The sequence below is a fragment of the Homo sapiens genome, chromosome 6 (assembly GCF_000001405.40).
Source record: "Homo sapiens chromosome 6, GRCh38.p14 Primary Assembly".
NCBI lineage: Eukaryota > Metazoa > Chordata > Mammalia > Primates > Hominidae > Homo > Homo sapiens.
Genome location: NC_000006.12, coordinates 151,766,479 through 151,782,070, shown reverse-complemented (window position 1 = coordinate 151,782,070; position 15,592 = coordinate 151,766,479). Strand labels below are relative to the sequence as shown.

The 15,592-nt window shown below is 39.4% G+C and overlaps 1 protein-coding gene across 12 annotated transcripts in view; it reads right to left on the bottom strand.

Moving 5' to 3' along the window:
• ESR1 (estrogen receptor 1) overlaps positions 1-15,592 on the bottom strand; it is a 472,948-nt gene that overhangs the window by 347,549 nt on the left and 109,807 nt on the right. The gene's annotated exons all lie outside the window — the stretch shown is intronic.

Below are 15,592 nucleotides of genomic sequence, written 5' to 3'. Positions count from 1 at the left end.
TTTCTAATTCCATGATTGACCTGTCTAGAACATACATTTCTCCACCACGTTACAGTTAATGAAGAACTTTTCCCATGTGCATCTCGTCCTTAGTATTTTAGTTATTATTTCCTCAGTACTACTTACCTCTGCTTCACACACTTCTTTTTCAAAAAAGCAGAGTAACAATAAAATCATTTATACCAGACACTCTAAATAGCTCTGTGGTTCCCACTGTAAATTTATTTTGTAAAATATAGCCTATGCTGAAAGTAGTTTTTTTTTTTGTGCACAATACTTTTTTTTAAAACAAACACTTGTCACTGTTTAGTAGGAAGATATTTTATTCTGCCTCATTAAATAAAATGTTAGAGTCATTCTGACCTGCCTGGTATACAATTTGGGTGTGTAGCAGTTAGCAAATATCTTGCCCTCTTAGTGAAAATAGATGAAAACAGGAGAAAGGAATGGAAACAGCGAAGCGGTGGGATGTAGGGGATCAAACATTCTGGATTGGGAGTCAAAACATCAGGGTTTCAGTCTCAGGTTCTCTCTTCTTAACTAGTTGTATAACTTCAGTGCTATGGTTTGAATTTTTGTCTCCTCCAAAGCTCATGTTGAAATGTAATTGCCATTGTAACAGTATTAAAAGGTGGTGCCTGTGAGAAATGATTAGGCCATGAGGCCTCCACCTTCATGGATGGGATTCATGCCATAATAGAAGCACAAATTCAGCCACATTTTACCTCTTGGCCCTTCCGCCTTCCACCATGTAGACACATCCAGAAGGCCCTTGCCAGATGCCAGCACCTTGATATCAGACTTTCCAACCTCCAGAATCGTGAGCCAATAAATTTCTGTTCAATATAAATTACCCAGTCTCAAGTATGCTCTCTTATAGCAGCACAAAATGGACTAAGACACTTAGATAAATTAATTAATATATTTGAGTCTCAGTTTCCTCATCTCTAAAATTAAGGAATTCTATTAAAATAATCTTCAAGGGTTCTTCCACTTATGAAATTCTACTTTGAAAGAAGTTTTAGAAGAAATGTATAGTTTGAAAGCAAAAGAAAAAATTAGTTTCATTAGTATTTGCATTCTACAAAAAAGATCACCAAAATCTCAATATTTTAAAGCCCGTTGTATTTAATAATTTTGTACTACATTTTGATTTAAAACTAGGTACAAAAAGTTTGAGACAATGTTTAGCTGGAAATTTCTACAACACTGTGATTATATGGACAGAGTGACAAAAACAGTTTCAGGACTGAAGAGAGTTAGATGCTGAACTAGGGTAAGAGTTTTGGGCTGTGATTTTGACACCAAATGCTCTCCTGAGAATGAGGAGAATCAATGGACTGATCTTTAGGAATCAGTGACATCAAACATAAGCCTAACTCGCATTTGAATTCTTCCCAAGTCAGGGCTTCACCTTTTTGGAAGAAAAGAAAGAAAACAAAAACTTGAAAGTCCAGCATTTTTCAATCCTGGCTACCACCTTAGAATCATGAGAGGAGTTTTTAAATAATATTCATGCCCAGGCTACCCCACACCAAGGAAATCAGAATCTTGGGGGAGTCAGCCATAGGTGTTTTTTGAACTCTCCTGAGTAATTCTTTTGTGCTGTCAATTGAGAACTACTGAGTTAAATAAGAAAACATGAGAAGATGGAAGGAATGATGACTGCCAAAGCAAAAGGCAGGGTTTTTTTTCTTTTTCTTTTTCTTTTTTATTATACCTTAAGTTCTGGGATACATGTGCAGAATGTGCAGGTTCGTTACATAGGTATACATGTGTCATGGTGGTTTGCTGCACCCATCAACTCGTCATCTACATTAGATATTTCTCCTAATGCTATTCTTCCCCTTGACCCCCAACCCCCCGACAGGCCCTGGTGTGTGATGTTCCCCTCCCTGTGCAAATATGTTCTCATTATAGAACTTGTGGAACTCACCCACTTGTGAAACTTGTGGAACTTGTGGAACTCACCCACTCATTATGGAACTCACCCACTTGTGAGTGAGAACATGCAGTGTTTGGTTTTCTGTTTCTGTGTTAGTTTGCTGAGAATGATGGTTTCCAGCTTCATCCATGTCCCTGCAAAGGACATAAACTCATTCTTTTTTATGGCTGCATAGTATTCCATGGTGTATATGTGCCACATTTCCTTTTTTTTTTTTTTTTTTTTTGAGACGGAGTCTCGCTCTGTCGCCCAGGGTGGAGTGCAGTGGCGGGATCTCGGCTCACTGCAAGCTCCGCCTCCCGGGTTCACGCGCCACATTTTCTTTATTCGGTCAAACATTGATGGACATTTGGGTTGGTTCCAAGTCTTTGCTATTGTGAATAGTGCTGCAATAAACATACGTGTGCATGTGTCTTTATAGTAGAATGATTTATAATCCTTTGGGTATATACCCAGTAATGGGATTGCTGGGTCAAATAGCATTTCTAGTTCTAGATCCTTGAGGAATCGCCACACTGTCTTCCACAATGGTTGAAATAATTTACACTCCCACCAACAGTATATGTGTTCCTATTTCTCTGCAACTTCACCAGTACCTGTTATATTTTTACTTTTTAATAACAACCATTCTGACTAGTGTGAGATAGTATCTCATTGTGGTTTTGATTTTCATTTCTCTAATGACCAGTGATAATGAGGTTTTTTTCATATGTTTGTTGGCTGCATAAATGTCTTCTTTTGAAAAGTGTCTGTTCATATCCTTATGGGGAAAGGATTCCCCGTTTAATAAATGGTATTGGGAAAACTGGCTAGCCATATGCAGAAAACTGAAACTGGACCCCTTCCTTATACCTTATACAAAAATTAACTCAAGACAGATTAAAGATTTAAACATAAGACCTAAAACCATAAAAACCCTAGAAGAAAACCTAGGCAATACCATTCAGGACATAAGCATAGGCAAAGACTTCATGACTAAAACACAAAAGCAATGGCAACAAAAGCCAAAATTGACAAATGGGATCTAATTAAACTAAAGAGCTTCTGCACAGCAAAAGAAACTATCATCAGAGTGAACAGGCAACCTACAGAATGGGAGAAAAATTTTGTAATCCATCCATCTGACAAAGGGTAATATCCAGAATCTACAAGGAACTTAAATAAATTAACAAGAAAAAAAAAACAGGCTTTCTTTAGCAATATACAATTGCTGCTCTGTATGCTATGCACAAAACAAGACCAAAGGTGCTTACCCAGGAGAACTTGCATGACAGCGAAAACAAATTTTTTGGCAAAAAAAGTATCTTTTTTAATCACATAAAGAAATTTCCACAAACCATAATCTCACAGTTGAGATTCAAAATCTCACAGTTGTCAAAGCATTAGTGGTTTCTTTCCTATGATTTAAAAGTTGTAAATATGGCAGGTATGGTGGCTCACACCTGTAATCCCAGCACTTTGGGAGGCTGAGGTGGGCAGATCACTTGAGGTTAGGAGTTCGAGACCAGCCTGGCCAACATGGCAAAACCCCATCTCTACTCAAAATACAAAAATTAGCCAGGCATGGTGGCACACACCTGTAATCCCAGCTACTGGGGAGGCTGAGGCAGGAGCATTGCTAGAACCTGGGAGGTGGAGGTTGCAATGAGCCGAGATCATGCCACCGCCATCCAGCCTGGATGACAGAGCAAGACACTGTCTCAAAAAAAAAAAAAAAAGTTGTAAATATACATAACATAAAATGCATGATTTTTAGCCATTTTTAAGTAATGGCATTAAGCACATTCCCAGTGTTGTGCAGCCATCACCATTGTCCATCTCCAGAAATTCTTCATCATCCCAAACAGAAATGTTGTACCCATTGAACAATCCTCCTTCCTTTCCACCTTTGGTCACCTCCATTCCACCTTTCTATCCCTGTGAATTTGCCTATTCTAGGTAGTTTATATAAGTGAAATCATACAACATTTCTCTTCTTAAAAACAAAGAAATTGAGAACAAGGACTGTCGTGATTTTCCGAAGAAAGTGGAAACTTCTTTTAAAAATCAGACGAGGAACCAATTGCGTCTTGGGTAGTTAAGTGTCAAGATGTAGATTTCCTGGTTTTACACACTCTATTGTACATTTTAATTTTTTATTTTTATTTATTTATTTATTTATTTTTGAGACAGAGTTTCGCTCTTGTTCCCCAGGCTGAAGTGCAGTGGCGCAGTCTCGGCTCACTGCACCCTCTGCCTCCTGGGTTCAAGCGATTCTCCTGCCTCAGCCTCCCACGTAGCTGGGGTTACAGGCATGCACCACCGTGCCCGGCTAATTTTTGTATTTTTAGTAGGGTTGGGATTTCCCCATGTTGGCCACGCTGGTCTCGAACTCCTGACCTCAGGTGATCCAACTGCCTCAGTCCCCCAAAGTGCTAGGATTACAGGCATGAGCCACTATACCCAGCCCTATTGTACATTTTAATCACCCATGGTCACCCACTTCCTATGAGTTCAGCATTCTGGCCTCTGTTTCTCTATTGTGATTTCCAGTCCCCACATGACCCTTCTTACATTAACCTTTTTAACCACAATTCCCTCTGCATTAAATCACCAACATTCTCCACATGTGTCCAGTGAAATACCTAACTCACCCTTTCTTTCAGATTTCCATTGCCTCAACCCTAACCAATACCCTTACTTGGGACTGGTTAAAAAATAGAAAATAGGCCAGGTGCGGTGGCTCACACCTGTAATCTCAGCACTTTGGGAGGCTGAGGTGGGCAGATCACTTGAGGTCAGGAATTCAAGACCACCCTGGGCAACATGGTAAAACCGTGTCTCTACTAAAAATACAAAAAATTAGCCAGGCTTGGTGGCAGGTGCCTGTAATCCCAGGTAATCAGGAGGGTGAGGCAGGAGAATCGCTTGAACCAGGGAGGCAGAGGTTGCAGTGAGCCGAGATCACACTACTACACTCTAGGCTGGGCGACAAGAGCAAGACTCTGTCTCAAAAAAAAAAAGAAAAGAAAAGAAAAGAAAAGACCTCAGAGTTGTACAAGCCTTTCTCTGGCATTTTATGCTCAGAGCCAGCTTCCACACAAGCCTGGATCAACCTTTCTCAGATGCCATTCACATCCCCCCAAATACCATTTGTACCTTTTTGCCTATCCCATAAAACCTGAATGTCCGCCTGCTAGCCCATCCCGTCAAACTCACGTATATCTCCCTATAAAAAAATGCCTTCTCCAGCCAAGCCAATCTGTGGCCACTCTTCTTTTCTTTTCTTTTCCTTTTTTTTTTTTTTAAGACGGAGTTTCACTCTTTGTTGCCCAGGCTGGAGTGCAGTGGCGTGATCTCGGCTCTCTGCAACCTCTGCCTCCCGGGTTCAAGCGATTCTCCTCTCTCATCCTCTAAAGTAGTTGGGATTACAGGCACCCGCCACCAAGCCTGGCTAATTTTTGTATTTTTAGTAGAGGCATGGTTTCACCATGTTGACCAGGCTGATCTCGAACTCCTGACCTCAGATGATCCTCCTGCCTTGGTCTCCCAAAGTGCTGGGATTACAGGCGTGAGCCACCCCAGCCGGCCTCCGTGGCCAGTCTTCTGAATGCAACGTTCTATCCCTGCCTCTGCGTGAGGACTCATTCAGCAGAGCTAATTCCCTGGTAGTTAATAGCCACTAGCACCCACAGCTCCATAACTGGCTTGAGCTGCCAAGCACTCCTGTCAGTCCTTTTCTTCTCACACCAAGGGCAGAGAACAGACAGCCTCTGCTTTGTTATCTCTGATAAAATGTCTGGAAGAACCACTGGTCTTGCCCCACAAATCCCTCCTATTCTGAACTGAATTCCTGGGTCTCTTTTTCCTAATATTTCAGCCTGTGGTTTCGGACTCGAGCCAGCTTCTTTCCACCCAGGCACTATGTCCCCAGTCTATTCACCTCCCATTTATGTTCTCCAGGCCTCCAATGGATGTTTCTGACTCCTGCTTTCAGATCCCCTCTGACCCAGCCTCTTTCCTCGAACTTGCTTTACCTGCTCTTCCTGCCTCCAAAGTCCTGAACATTTTTACTCGCAACAAAAATTATCCACCCATTTCCTATATTCTTCTCTCTGCCTCCTTTCAGGGATTTAAGATCCGCTCACCTTCATTCTTACATGAAACTGACTTCCTGACCACAACCCTTGCTATTCAGATCCTAAAATTCAGCACCTCTTCTGGTTAAACCAGACCCCTGGGCCTGACGTTTCTTGCCCTGCCCAGTTCTGGTGCTATCTGAGACCTAGCATAGCAGGCCTTGAACAATATCTTCTGTAGATTCTGCTTCTCTTTGCCCACTGCTCTAGGCTGTAGCCTCTAGGACTGTTTTGGGTTTTTTGGATTTTTTTTTTTTTTTTTGAGACGGAGTCTCGATTTGTCACCCAGGCTGGAGTGCAGTGGCGCGATCTCGGCTCACTGCAAGCTCCGCCTCCCGGGTTCACGCCATTCTCCTGCCTCAGCCTCCCGAGTAGCTGGGACTACAGGCGCCCGCCACGGCACAGCTAATTTTTTTGTATTTTTAGTAGAGACAGGGTTTCACCGTGTTAGCCAGGATGGTCTCGATCTTCTGATCTTGTGATCCGCCCGCTTCGGCTTCCCAAAGTGCTGGGATTACAGGTGTCAGCCACCGCGCCTGGCCAGGACTGTTTTAACACGCTAGTACAGGTTGAGTATCCCTAATCCAAAAATCCAAAATTCAAAATGCTCCAAAATCCAAAACTTTTTGAGGGCCAAGATGACACTGAAAGGAAATGCTCACTGAAGCATTTCAGATTTTGGATTTTCAGATTAGGGATACTGAGCGGGTATGAAAATATTCCAAAATCTGAAATAATCCCAAAGCCAAAACAATCTGGTCGCAAGCATTTTGGATAAGGGATATTCAACTTGTATTACTCTCCATCATGGAGTTCTTCTGTTTCTTTGGGTACTTCCTCTCCACGGGACAGACTGTTTTCCTTTTAGCATCTACTTTTTGTCCTGATTCCTTCTTTCACCTCTCCTGCCACTTCAGTCCTTGCCCAGAGAGGAGTCATGCATATAAATTTCGAAGTTTGATCTTTCCCCAAGTCAAAGGGCTATATTGGACTAAACACTGGCTCAAGATCCACCTCAACTCATTATCTTCTTAAGGTAAGATGAGGGATAAGTCAACTAAAATTATATTAAAAGTGAAATCTGACAAATGCAGTGAAAAGCAGTTTGAATGTAGAGCTCTTTATTTATAGTTAGTTATTTATATAATGGTGTTACAGTTATTTAATGTATGGTTATGTACAGTTATTTATTTAATGGTGTCTTCAAGTCCCAAGTTTTTTCTGCATACCTAATCAGCTAATTCTGTTGATATACCAATAAAGATCTAGAAAGGTTTTGGCTTCTTTCATTTTAATCCTACGAATGTTCAACACCATGGATGAAGGATACTTTCCCTTAATATAGACTATCTAAATGGATCATCTCTAACTGCTGTGATCATCCTAGACTTCTACAGTTGGAAGTTGGTGGACAAAAGCAATAACATCCCAGCCCTACCAGTACTGTGTGAGGGCCAAGGTAAGAATTTGTCACAAGCTTCTTACAGCTTTCAATATTGAAGGAAGACCACAATGTAGTACCACTAACCATCCATGACTAATGAGTCCCCAGTGATCCAGAAACTGTTACCTGTTCTTGGCATACGATGCCTTGTTCAGGGACAGAAAAGTTCAAACAACATAACTTAACTTCAAACGAAATGTCAAAGTTATTCATTATCACAAAACAACCATTTGTTCCCGAACTCCCAAACTCCATTGTTTTCTGTGATATGCTATACTTCACCAAATGGAACCTTTCAATGTGACCAAAGCAAGCTTTTGAAAGTAGAACAAGTGAGATTGAGTGGCATTCCCCATCTTTGGTTGCCAGTACCTTTTACAAACTAGTGAAATGGTTATTATAGTCCAAATTTATTGCAAGGTAAGTCAAAACTGACCAAACCTTTCCAGAAGCCCTCTCTAACTCCCTAATGACAATGTGCCATACAATAGCCCTGTTTAATCTAACTTCTTCCAACTCTACAAATACTTACTGAACACCTATTTCATGCAAAGCATCATGTCCCAGTCTGTCCCTCACTCTTATTTCAGAAAGCTTTCTCTTTACTAAGGATGTCAGGTGTGTTTATTTCGTTGAAAGCCACCGAACACCATAACATTGCTGATAACAATTCAAAGAGAAATTCACCCACAGACATTGACCTAGGAATCAATTTTCCAACTATAACCTCCACATCCCAATCCTTTGCCACCAGAGGAGATGAGAGATTATTCTTTCAAGGTGATTAGATTCCATTCTTAAGTTCTGCTCTTTACTCTACAACAAGCAGGGTCTCATAAACAAGTGAAAAAGAGAAGATGTCAGGATTCCTACTTGCACAGAGATCCTTGGAGTAAGAAAACAACCTGAGTCACTGGGTTGCCAGCCAGGAAGGCTCCCTGCCTCCTCCTATAGACTTCCTCTCCACTAGGACCAGGGTAAAGTCTCCGGTTGCCTGCCAGCAGCTGCCTTCAAACATATGCGTCAGCCAAGGCAATTATCCTTGTCCATAGGCTTTCAGCTTTCTATAGAAGGAATGAGTGAAGATTGTGACAAGGCCTCACTGTGATCACAGATGAGAAAGTGTAATCATTTCCCAAGGTTGCTGGAACAAAGCACCGCAAAGTGGGTGGCTTAAACATCAAAAATGTATTGTCTCACAGTTCCAGGGGCTAAAAGTCCAAAATCAAAGCATTGGCAGGGTTGGTTCTGTTTGAGGGCTGTGATAGAAAATCTGTTGCATGCTTCTCTGTAGCTTCTGGGGGTTTGCTGGCAATCTTTGGGGTTCGTTGGCTTATAGAAGCATCACCCCCCACTCTGCCTTCATCATCACGTCTTTCTCCCTATGTGTGTGTCTCTGTCCAAATTTTCCCTTTTAATAAGGACACCAGTCATACTGGATTCCTTATAAAAAGGACTGGCCAACCCTAGTGGCCTTGTTTTAATTCCATTAACCCTGTAAAGACCCCACCTCCAAATAAGGCCACATTCTAGGATACTGGGGTTTAAGACCTCAACATATCATTTTTGAGGGGGACACAATTCAACTTATAACAGAGAGATTTTAAGATCCTGGAGGAAAAGAGTGTTTAATAATCCAAGAAGCAGTAGATTTGAGGCATAGTCAAATGAAGAGGAGGACTTTTTTATGAGCTGAGAGGAATGGTAAGACTACTAGTAAGGCTTTACAATTTGTCCATTTTACAACCACCCAGAGCTTTTCTCTTTGTAACCTCCCTGTGGAGCAGTCCTTTAGCATTTACAAATATGTTATAAAGGCTGCACATCTGAAAAGAATATGAAGTCTGTGATAGTTGATTTGCTAACCGGGATTTTCCAGTCAGCACAATCCAACTTTGAATTGCTCACTAGCATGCAGCTGCTCCCATCCTTCTTGGCCCTTCTATCTGGCCTCACTGCACTCAAAGCTCCCCTCAAAAGGGGCCTCAATCATAAATCCCCAGAAAAGTAGACAATGTCTGTCTGACAAATAGTTGAAGAATCTGCCATAGAGTTTGCTAAATTTTGCCTTAAAATCTAAAGGAGAACTGAGTCTAGCCACCACTCCCTTCTTTTGGACATACCCATGACCACACAAAGTGCCACCCACCACCCTTTGTAATATGATGCAAAAGTTATTACTGAAGTTATTGGCAATGCTGTTCTCTTCATTGTTTTATGGTGTAATCAAGAAACTTTGGAGAGATTCAGATTGGTGCATATGTTGGAAGGGCCACTCTTGCATGACATTTGGGTGCCATGTCACAGTGCCCAGGACAACTGAGACCCCTACAGGTACCTCACTTCCTGTTGTTCCAAATCTCCATTCCTGTTCCAATTCAATAAATCCACCATTACTAAAGTGGTTTCCCAGCAACTACGGGTGTGTACTGCCCTGTTAGAAACCCACATTGCTTGCTTTACCATAAAGCCTTGCGTGTTGCATTTGTTAGTAACAAAACCAAAATGAGGCATTTAGGCAGGAGGTGGGAAGGTTGAGCTGTTCATTTCATTAGAAACATTTACCCTTCTTTTCAAAACAACCTCCTGAGAAAAGCAGGGGAGTTTTGATTTAGCAAAAGAAAATAATAGTCAAGCAGTGTATCAACAAATTAATTATTTAAACATATTCCATTCCAAGTAATTTCTTACTCCCCATAGTTATTTGTCAGTTGTTGTTTTTTTTAATTACAAAATAACACTTGTTCATTTTAAAGATTCAAACAATACAGAAGTGGGTAAAGTAAAAAGTATAATGTAAAAAGTGAAAATCTCACTTTACTTTTCCTAACCTCACTCCCCAGGGGTAACTGCGGTTCATAATTTAGCAAATATCTAAACATATATATTTAAATGATACATATGCAGTTGCTTATTTAAAAATATAGGATCTATTTGACATTTGCATGGCAACTTGCTGTTTTTCACTCCATGATATATTAAGGACTTTCTTCATGTCATTCCATGTTTCTTTTGAAAAAATACAATTTTATTTTTTGATCAGTGGTGAAATAGCAACAAAAGGTGTAACTACATGAACACCGGCGGCCAGCCTGCCACAAGAAATTCCAGCCGTATTTCTCATGAAGGACTAAATTTTCAACAGGTTATACTGGGAAAAGTAGAAACTTTAGAACAAAGCAGACTGAAGAGTATTTCCAGTGCCGTGGACAAAGGTGGGGGATTTTCATTGCCTCCAAGTGCCCAATTTTTCTACTAAGAGAGGATAAACGCTTTCAATTACATGAATTCCCATCAGGAGGACAACAATAGGCATGGATACAATTCTATAGCTCTTGAGCAATAAAAAGTATATCACAGGCTAGAGAACGGGACAAAGAGAAACAGCTCTGCCTCCATAATAAGGGGAGAGTGAGAGTCGTTGTCTACAGAATGCTGCTGGAGCACATTAACTGAAAATTTTAAGCAAATAAGTTGGACACTATTTTCCAGTGATTTACAATAGTTCTGTAGAAAAACTCTACTGTAATCCACCATGCTGCTGGTGCATAGCTGGGGCATCTCACTGGTTTAGGTGCTTTCTTTATATGTCTACTGTTTCCTTTTTCTTTTTGTTCTTCTTTCTCTCCTCTTCAAACTTTTTTCTCTGCCATCTGAACACTTTTAGTTTCTTATTTTTTTTGCTGAGAAACAACTGAAATTGTCAAACCAATTATCTCCAGGTCTAATGTGATAGATTAGGTAGATTTCTAGAAAGAGTCTTCATCTGTCTAAACTCCTTGTGCCTCCCATTGTGACAAAATCTTTGAAAAAAAAATTGACTCAGTCATATTTATAACAGTAAAATTACATATGTAACCACTTAATGATACTATAAACACTTTTTGCCTAAAATTCTAAATCTTGGCTTAATTCTCCTTTGCTCTATATGTATAGACAAAATCCCGTATCACCTTTACCGCTTGGAAAGAAATGGTCAATTTGAAGATTCTTCTTCATAGTTTAACCAGCTTCAGTTGGTTAAACATTGAATTAGGGTTATATTAAATTACATATTAGTTACATTTATATATTAATTAGATTTAATAACTGATGTGTTATGAAATCGTTGGAATTATGCCTGCCTTTATTAGTGATGGCTATATTTTAAATTCTATAAAATAAATATTTCTAGAGCCTCTTCATTTAAGAAATGTTTATAACAAAATATCTTCTAAGCAAAATAGCTTTCCCATTTTAATTTCATTAACATTCTGAGTTCAGCTTTTAGAAAACTATGGCAAGTATTGCATAATATTTTCTTATTTATAAATGAAAAATTAAGATTACATAATGCTGAAGTGAATTATCCCAGGTCTAGGTCTACTAGAATGTCAACACATAATTTAGATTCACAAAGCATCTGAGTTGGTTGCTGAGGCAAAGAATTTCCTTCTTAACTCACCTATCATGCCCATCTCTCCACTCATCTATTCCATTCAGGCTAATATAACTTGAGTTCTCCTCATCCCTCTTCATCCCTTTTTTTTTTTTTTTGAGATGGAGTCTCACTCTGTCGCCCAGGCCGGAATGCAGTGGTGCGATCTTGGCTCACTGCAACCTTCACCTCCCGGATTCAAGCGATTCTCCTGCCTCAGTTTCCCGAGTAGCCGGGACTGCAGACGCGTGCCACCATGCCTGGCTAACTTTTATTTAAAACTCTTCCATATACCATTATGCCATCATATCTTACTACAATCTTCCTTTCCTGTTGTTCAAAAAAATCTTACACTCTTATTTCCTCTGAAGCTTATCGATTGATGGGAATGGAAACATAAATAAATATCCAACTCCCAATTGGACATCTTCACATGGACATTTTACAGAAACCTCAAACTTAGTATATCCCAGACTGAACACATGATCTAGCCCCTGCGTAGCCCAGTCTATCTTCCTGCTAGTGTTCTCCATCTCACTACACCATCCACATTCAATTACTTTTAGCCTAGATATTCAGTGTCCATTCAGTCAATCACCAACTCTGTCAATTACAAATGCTAAATGCTCTCTGTCATTCCACGACTCACCATTCACTCCACTTTAACTTTCCCCTTGCCATAATCACACTTACAGGGTTGGGGGAGGGTGTGCGCGCATGTGGTCAGAGTCGAGATCAGGGCTATTGAGAATTAGAATAAGTTTAATACCAAGTCATCACTTCTAACTGGTATAAAAAGACTATAATAGTTCCTCCTTAGTCAGAAATAAAAGTGAACATTTTCTTAGATTCCTGGAAGCTGCTATTCAATATTATAAGCCTTTGTTAATAAATGAGTTTGATTAGATCTTTTCTTCTGTGGCCCAGAAGCCAGCGTGGAGAGATGCCTGGCAGAAGTAGACTTCCAAGTCCAGATTTCCCGATAATGTCTTGGTGAAACGACTGACAATTCTGCTATTCAGATCTACCTAAATACGTAAGTCAATATCAAGATAATAAAATGTTCCAGGATCTGCAGGACTGGTGTGCACATTACTAGGCAGTATCCATACATAAAAGCACAGAAACGTGCTGTCAGGAAAATGAATTAAAATATGAAGAGCTATATTTTTCTACATAGCCCAGGAAGTTATATTCTGAATTTACTAGAATATCAGTGACCAACTCAGATTGTCATTACCAAAGGTTCTTTGACCAGCAGGAAAACACAAGGCACAGGAAAGGATGGACCATTTTCCTTAGTTTTATAAGAGCCAGGGTTATTGCTTTTCTTTTAAGTAATTTACGAGTTAAAGGAAAGGTTGAGAAAATGGTACAAAATATTCCCATATACTTTTACCTACATTCCCCAAATGCTAACATTTTATCACACTTGCTTTATTATCCTGTCATCTATCTATCTATGAACTTATCTATTTTTTTTTCTGAGATGTTTGAGAGTAAGTTGCATATAGCAGCATGTATTTCCAAAAACAACATCTTATGTTTTAACTTAACCCCAGTGCTTTGATCAAAGTCAGGAAATTCACATAGGTACAGTATTATTTTCAAATCTATTGACCTTATTCAAATTTTGCCAATTGTCTTACTAATGCCCATTTTCTGACCCAAGACCCAATTCAGGATTATACTTGCATTGAGGCATCCTGTCTCTTTTAGCCTCCTTTGGTCTGGAACTGTTCATGACCTTGACAATTTTGAAGAGTTCTAGCCAGCTATTTTGTGGAATGCCCCTCAATTGGGGATTTTGTGATGCTTCTTTCAGGTTATGGATTTTTGGCAGGAACATCACAAGAATGAGGTTGTTTCTCCTTTGTGTATCATATCAGAAGCACATGATGTTAATGTGTCCCACTACTGATGTCACCTTTGATCACTTGGATATGGTAGTGTCTGCCAGATTTCTTCTTCTCTGTAAAGTTACTATTTTCCCTTTGCAATTAATAAGTATCCTATGTGGAGGTACTTGGAGACTTTAAAAATATCCTGTTTCTGGTCCTGTTTTCCCTCACGAATTTTAGCATCCACTGGTGATTCTTGCTTCAAATAATTATTGCTCCACATTCCCCATACCTTACCTTTTTCCTGGACACACAGCTGAAGTACAGTGCCTAGTCCCCTCATATCTAGGAGGAATGATATAACTAATTCTAGCGCATAGAGCTATAATTGTAAGGGGTATATGCCCCTTCTAGGTTTGCTCTCCCCACCCAACAAATGTCTCCTATTATTCTGCAGGTTCTTTGCTTGTCAGTCAATTGGATGCATAAGATCCAGCAGAGAACACTAAGAAGGCTTTGGTAGTTGTGGAGCCACTAGACCTTAGCATCTGTACCATTCAGGAAGTCCTATGAACTTGGGTTAAGAAAATCTTTCTTTTAACTGGAATTTGACATCTCCCTTTGTGAATACAGATGGCAGCTATAATAGTGTTAGCAATACCAATGTCTTTGTCACCAAGATAAATCATATATATTACCTATCACGCTGTATTCAGTGCAGACATCTTGAAATATATTTACCTATCACTAATTTGAAATTAACTTTGAATTTTAATTATTAGATCTGTCACTATATCTTTTTTTTCTTTTATCACATTTAGAAACTGTCCTGAGAGGAGATTTATTGGCTTCACCAGACTGCCAAAGGGGTCTAAGACCTAAAATAGGTTAAGACAGAAAGAGGAGTTCCCTGAGTCACTGCATTTTGAGGACAACCTAGGGAAGGAGGTGGGGAATATCTGCAATAGAATTTGCATGAGAGAAAAATAAACTTTTACTCTCTTAAGCTGAGATATATGCTGTTATTTGTTCAGCAATTATCTTATCCTGAGTAATCAAGAGAATAAAGTTGTAAATGTGGAAATTATATGCAAGGGAAGATGGTTGAGGCCATGGGATTGGATGTGATTGTTAAGAAGAGAGACAAGTACTGAATTTGGGGCAATTGCTACATTTTGGAAAAGAAGACAAAAGAAACAGATGAAAGAATGATCTGAATAGAAGAAAGAGAACCAGAAATACGTGGTGTAAAAGATTCTATGAACCTGAAACCATATTTTCATTTCTCAGATGTCTTCATATAGAATAAGTCCTTATCTGTTGTCTGGAAAGATAAGAAGCTAAACCATTTCAGTAGATTTGCTCAACTATATCTGTCATTTACGAGATGACAGGTATTGTACTTCTCTAAGTCTAGGTTTCCTTGTCTATGAAAAAATTGCAATGCAGATTACAGAAGGTAATGTAAGTAAACACATGCAAAAGAACCTACTACAGCTTCTGACATGTATCTATCGCTAGAAAAGTTAGCTATTTTTCTCCCCAGTCTTTCCCCCTTCCTACCCTCATTAGCAATCCATTTCATGTATTAGAGTTTAAAAGAACTAAAGAGTATATTAAGAAAACTGTAAATTTTTTCTTAAGTCAAAATCACAGCATTTTAGACATTATACTTGCCATAGTATTCAAGCTATAAAACTCAGCAAAATCATTATTAAAATTCAAATAGAATCTTGATATTTTATTTGGAAAACAGATTGAGTGAAAAAAAGAGGCGTGTGATTTTTATTTGTTTTTTTTTATTTTTTATTTTTTTGTTTGTTTTGA